Below are 6,402 nucleotides of genomic sequence, written 5' to 3'. Positions count from 1 at the left end.
CCCACGACTCCGCGCCTCTTCCTTCAGACTGGTGGTGGGCAGGGTGGGGGCAGAGGCTGCTGGGAGGCAGGCCTGAGGCCAGAGCCTGGTGTGTTGGGTCTGGAAACTTGCCCCAGGCTCACACCGCGGGTGAGCTCTGAGAATAGTCCCTGGGGGCCAGGCATGGGCACAGGTCCTCAGCTGCACCTTTAGGGTGTAAAACACACTTTTTCAGTTGTTACAGGCTAGTAAAAGCTTAAATAACTTAAAACGATATAAAACCTCAGTGTTACCCACCAGTCCCCTCACTCCCACAATCCCAATGTGAACAGTTGGATGCTTCCCTCCCAGCCCCTCCATGTGTGCTGTGTGCTGTGTGCATGTGTGTGGGTGCATATACGTACCAGCAGAAATAGGGGTCTAGCTATATATAGTGTCTCCAACCAGACTTTTTTTTTTTTTTTTTTTGAAATGGAGTTTCGTTCTGTCATCTAGGCTGGAGTGCAATGGTGCGATCTCCGCTCACTGCAACCTCCGCCTCCCCGGTTCAAACAATTCTCATGCCTCAGATTCCCAAGTAGCTGGGATTACAGGCACGTGCCATCACACTTGGCTAATTTTTGTATTTTTAGTAGAGATGGGGTTGCACCATGTTGGCCAGGCTGGTCTCAATCTCACTGACCTCAAGTGATCCGCTTGCTTTGGCCTCCCAAAGTGCTGGGATTACAGGTGTGAGCCACCGTGCCTGGCCTCCAACCAGCTTTTCAAATCTTAAGTAATGTGCATGTCATACAAGGATTAAAAGCACACCAGGGTATGTGGTAGAAAGTACTGGTTTGTCTCCCCCAGGCTTGTCCCCAGCCTCCAGGGTCCTCTCCCTGGAGGCAGCCCCAGCCCGGCCTGCAGAGCCCCGCCTCCCCCCCCCCCACCCCCCACCGAGGGCAGACCTGGCTGCTGCAGGTGCCACAGGCTGCAAAGATTCACAGTGTGCGTGCAGCCCGGGCTGAGGCTTGTCTACACTGTGGCGGAGGATACCAGATCTGTCCTTACCACACAGACCTGGTTCATGCAGCTTCTTCCAGGTTTAGTATACCTCTCCCAGGGACCCCTCCCAACCAGTGATGCTGTCCAGACCGTGTGTGTGAGTGCTCATGAGACAGGAGGAAGAGGAAGCAAGAGAGGGGAAGAGGAGGGGGCCAGTCCCTCCTCGGGGGCTGCAGGAGGAGGTAGGGTCCTTGAATCCTGCATCTTTAAGAGTCCTCAAAAAGGAGGAAAGCTAGAAACATAGTCTGATGCTCCCGCAAGGCTATTTTTGGCTCAAGAACATCTATTTATAACTCAGGCAGCCCCCAGCAGTCAATAAAACTGAGGCCTGGAAAGAGCTGATGGCTGACTCAAGCAGCACCGAGGTGCTCCCTTACCCCCTGTGCGCAGGAGCACCTGCAGCTCCAGCAGGTGGGTGACGGCCTCTCCTAGGATGCCCATCTGGGGCACATAGGTCTCAGGACCCTGGGGGCAGTGTAAGACTCCAGATGGAAGGAGGGGGTCTCATTTACCAACTCAATCAGGCTCCTAGTGGTCCAAGAGCTGCCCAAAGTAGGCGGTGAAGCAAGAGTTGAACACTGGTGGACTGGCCTCCAACTGCTACGTAGAGTCCCCTAAAGGCTTGTTGCCCTGCCTACAGCTGTGTCTCCCCCCAGGACAAGAGCTTTAGTTGCTGGATGGGTCTTGGATGGGTGGGTAGATGGGTGGATGAGGGAGGGAGACATGGATGGATGGATAGGTGAATTTATGGATGGGCAGATGGATGAATGGTGGATGGATGGATGGGTGCATGGATGGGTGGGTAGAAGGGCAGATGGATGAATGGGTAGAGGGATGCGTGGGGTGGGTGGGTGGGTAGATGGATGGATGGATGGATCAATGAATGGGTGGATGGGTGGGCAGATGGATGAATGGGTAGAGGGATGAGTGGGGTGGATGGGTGGATGGATCAATAGGTGGAGGGATAAATGGGATGGGTGGATGGATGGATAGAGGGGCAGATGGATGAATGGGTGGAGAGGGATGAGTGGGGTGGATGGATGGATGGATGGATGGATGGGCAAATGGATGAATGGGTAGAGGGATGAGTGGGGTGGGCGGGTGGATGGATGGATGGGCAGATGGATGAATGGGTAGAGGGATGAGTGGGGTGGGTGGGTGGATGGATGGATGGATGGGCAGATGAATGAATGGGTAGAGGGATGAGTGGGGTGGGCAGGTGGGTGGACGGATGGATGGATGGGCAGATGGATGAATGGGTAGAGGGATGAATGGGGTGGGTGGATGGATGGATGGATGGGCAGATGGATGAATGGGTAGAGGGATGAGTGGGGTGGATGGGTGGGTGGATGGATGGATGGATGGGCAGATGGATGAATGGGTAGAGGGATGAGTGGGGTGGGTGGGTGGATGGATGGATGGGCAGATGGATGAATGGGTAGAGGGATGAGTGGGGTGGGTGGGTGGATGGATGGATGAGCAAATGGATGAATGGGTAGAGGGATGAGTGGGGTGGGTGGTTGGATGGATGGATAGGCAGATGATGAATGGGTAGAGGGATGAGTGGGGTGGATGGGTGGGTGGATGGATGGATGGATGGGCAGATGGACGAATGGGTAGAGGGATGAGTGGGGTGGGTGGGTGGATGGATGGATGGATGGGCAGATGAATGAATGGGTAGAGGGATGAGTGGGGTGGGCGGGTGGGTGGATGGATGGATGGGCAGATGGATGAATGGGTAGAGGGATGAATGGGGTGGGTGGATGGATGGATGGATGGATGGGCAGATGGATGAATGGGTAGAGGGATGAGTGGGGTGGATGGGTGGGTGGATGGATGGATGGATGGGCAGATGGATGAATGGGTAGATGGATGAGTGGGGTGGATGGGTGGGTGGATGGATGGATGGATGGATGGGCAGATGGATGAATGGGTAGAGGGATGAGTGGGGTGGGTGGGTGGATGGATGGATGGATGGGCAGATGGATGAATGGGTAGAGGGATGAGTGGGGTGGATGGGTGGGTGGATGGATGGATGGATGAGCAAATGGATGAATGGGTAGAGGGATGAGTGGGGTGGGTGGGTGGATGGATGGATGGGCAGATGGATGAATGGGTAGAGGGATGAGTGGGGTGGGTGGATGGATGGATGGATGGATGGGCAGATGGATGAATGGGTAGAGGGATGAGTGGGGTGGGTGGGTGGATGGATGGATACGTGGGCAGATGGATGAATGGGTAGAGGGATGAGTGGGGTGGATGGGTGGGTGGATGGATGGATGGATGAGCAAATGGATGAATGGGTAGAGGGATGAGTGGGGTGGGTGGGTGGATGGATGGATGGGCAGATGGATGAATGGGTAGAGGGATGAGTGGGGTGGGTGGGTACATGGATGAATGGGTGGAGGAATGAATAGGATGGATGGATGGATGAATACATAAATGGGTATTCATAAATAGGCAAGTAGATGTGTGGCTAGGGAGTAGAAGGAAAGGAAGGTGGACAGATGGATGGACGGGTGGAGAAGTGATGGGGTGGATAGGAGGTGGAAGAATGGGTAAATGAGAGGGAGGGAGGGAGCGAAGGTGGGTGGGTAATAATGTTACATTGCGTTAGTTGCACTTCTGTTAGTCTTACATTAAAGCCAGCTTGTGCTTACCTCCATTCTCCATTGGACTGCAGATGGGTACCTGGTCTTTGCATACAGAAGGTACCCAGTGAATGTCCAATGAATAAGCCACATACTAACTGTCTTGGAGTGGGACATCACAGGAGAGACCCTCTCCAAGGCCCAGGGAGAGGAACAGGCTTGGTCAATGTCCCTTAGAGGGTCAGGGGCCAAGTTGGGGCTGGGCTTGGTTCCTGGTCTCTCAGGCACCATTCCTCTGCCTGCCGAGCCATCCCTGGAAGTAAGCTGGAGGCTGGTCTCAGTGGCACCCCTGCCAGCTGCCACTGTACTCCTGTGGATGGACTTACCAAGGCCCTTCCGGAGCTCAGAACTGAAGAGACTGAGCAGGAGAAAGGGCAGAGGGCCAGTTCTCAGGAAGCCTTTCAGGAGGAGAGTTTTGGCCTCTGAAGGCCAGGTTGTGTTTGGAGGGGCTGGGGGCAGGTGGGGCAGGAGGACATTGCAAAGGTCCACAGCATGGGAGAAAAGGCAGAGGTAGGAGCGCCCTGCGGGGAGCCAGGCAGAAGCTGAAGGCCTCTGGCCAAGGCAAGGCCCGACGGGAAGAGGGTGCATCTCGATGGGGCTCTGAATGGCAGGTGGGTTGGGGGAGTGTCTAAGAAGAGTGGTTCTTTGTGGGCAAGATGAAGGGAGGACTTGCTGTTAAGGGGAAGCCATGGAGTCTTTGAGGGGCCTATACAATGGACACCAGCAGAGGGTGCCCCAACCTCCCCGGAAGGGCGCAGGGCACAGGGCAGGGCGGGCCCTGGACAGAGGGTGGGAGAGGAGGGGCTGATTCTCAGCAGAGCTTCACAACAAATGCCTTGTGTCCATGGTGGGAGCACGTGGGGAAACTCAATTATCCCTGCAGGCAGCTGGGGCTCGGCGGCACAGTCCCTCCAGAGAAAGCACAGCCTTCTGGCCCAGGGGTGAGGGTCTAGACCTGTAAGGCAGCCCACAGTCCCAGGCCCCACTCCTGCCCCTGGGAATGGGTCTCCTGGGGTAGGAGCCTCTGTGGAAGACACTAGGCCCTGAAGGCGTGATGATGGCTTGTTTGTGAAGCGAGTGGTCCCTGACTGTGGGGACCAGAGCTCAGAGGGGATCCTGGTGGGGCGAGGGGAACATGCGTGTGCCTCCCACCCCCAAGCAGGGCGATGCCAGGGCAGGCCTTTGCCAAACACTAGGCAAGTGCCTGGGTGGATGCCCTTCAGTCCTTCCAAACTGAGCAGGTAGACTTGTCTTGCTTCAGAACCCTTCAATGTCCCCCTCCAGAGGGGCTGGGTTGGGGGTGGCCTCAGGGAGGGAAGGGGTATGGGAGCTGAACTGGAGTTGAGTGAGAATGCTGGGGAGAGGGAGGCCTCAGTAGTGGGGTGAGAGGAGAGGAACTCAGTGAAGGGCCTTCATTCTGGAAGGTGGGCGGGGGGAGGGGGACGGGTGCTAGGTCCAGGGGCATCTCTCCCAGTCTTTGCAGACACCACCCATGAAACCAAGGAACAGTGGCCTGTCCCCAGGCAGCTCCCAGGAGGAAGCTCTGGGAAGGAAAGGGGAAGACGCCGCTTACCCCTTCCCCGCCAGGAATTCTGCTGCCCCCCCCCCCCACCAAGTCCAGTGCCCTCCCACTCTGCCCCAGCACATGCGCCCTCATGGCTGAGCGCACCTGCAGAACGCACTCCCGCCCCCCACACACCTGGGGCCTCCGACCAGGACAGCGCAGGGCAGGTGACTACCCAGGAAGGGTAGGGGAATGTAGGGGGACTGGTGGCACCGTTGGCATCGCCGGCCGAAGCCTGCCCCTGACTGACGCAATTGCCGGCCGGTCGCAGCTATAAATAGCCAAGGAGAGCTGGAAATAGAAGCCAGGGAAGGGCCAGAGGCGGGTGGAGGGAGGAGCTTGGGCTTGAGCACCTGATGCCAGAGGAGGAAAACAAAACTCCATTCTAGGGCTCCCCTCCCTCATCCCACCCCAGCCCAGAGGGGCGTTTGCACCCGGAAACGTTTGGGGAAGCAGGGTGAAGTCAAGAACCTGCCCAACAGTGGGCGGGGCCTCCCTGCCGCGAGGGTCGGGGCGCGTGGAGCCTGCGCTGGCCACAGCCCGCGGTCTTCGGCTCTGGGTCATCTGCGGGGCAGTGGCCCCTCCTGATATCCGCCCGCCCCCACTCCCAAGCAGAAAGAGATTCCGGTGCCTCTCCACCCTCCCCACCCCACTCCCTCCGTCAAGCCCCTGGCCCAGGAGACCCCCGACAGCCCTGGAACACAGGGCCGATTGGCGAGATCAGTGGACACTAGGCCTGCCCAGAGCCTAGCCGGTGGGGGCGGCGTCCTGGGGGTGGGAGGGGGGCTTGTGGGGCAGTTTCCATATCTTCCTCGCCCAACCCAATCCTTCGGCCAGCGGCAGGAATGGGGCTCAGAGACTTTGCCGGCCTGGGGCAGGGCGCACTGCAGCCAGTGTGGAAGCCAGACCCAAACCGGACGGTCCCGGTGCCTGGTTCTGCTCGGTCACCTCTTGCCCACCTACCCAGCGGGCGCTCACAAGCTGGGGGCCCAAAAGAGGAACAGAAAACCAGAGGACTGGGGGGGCTTTGAGGCTGAAGGGCGAAGGCCCTTCCCGGACACCCTTGAGCCCTCCACCCTGAGCCCCTAGCAGCGCCAGGGAGTGACTTCAGTCCGGGTTCCTACTGTGGGGCCTCCGCCTCTCGGAGGGCATTAGGGCTGGCAA

This window comes from Homo sapiens, chromosome 11 (assembly GCF_000001405.40).
Source record: "Homo sapiens chromosome 11, GRCh38.p14 Primary Assembly".
NCBI classification, from domain to species: Eukaryota; Metazoa; Chordata; class Mammalia; order Primates; family Hominidae; genus Homo; species Homo sapiens.
Note: the sequence above shows the minus strand (reverse complement) of the source record.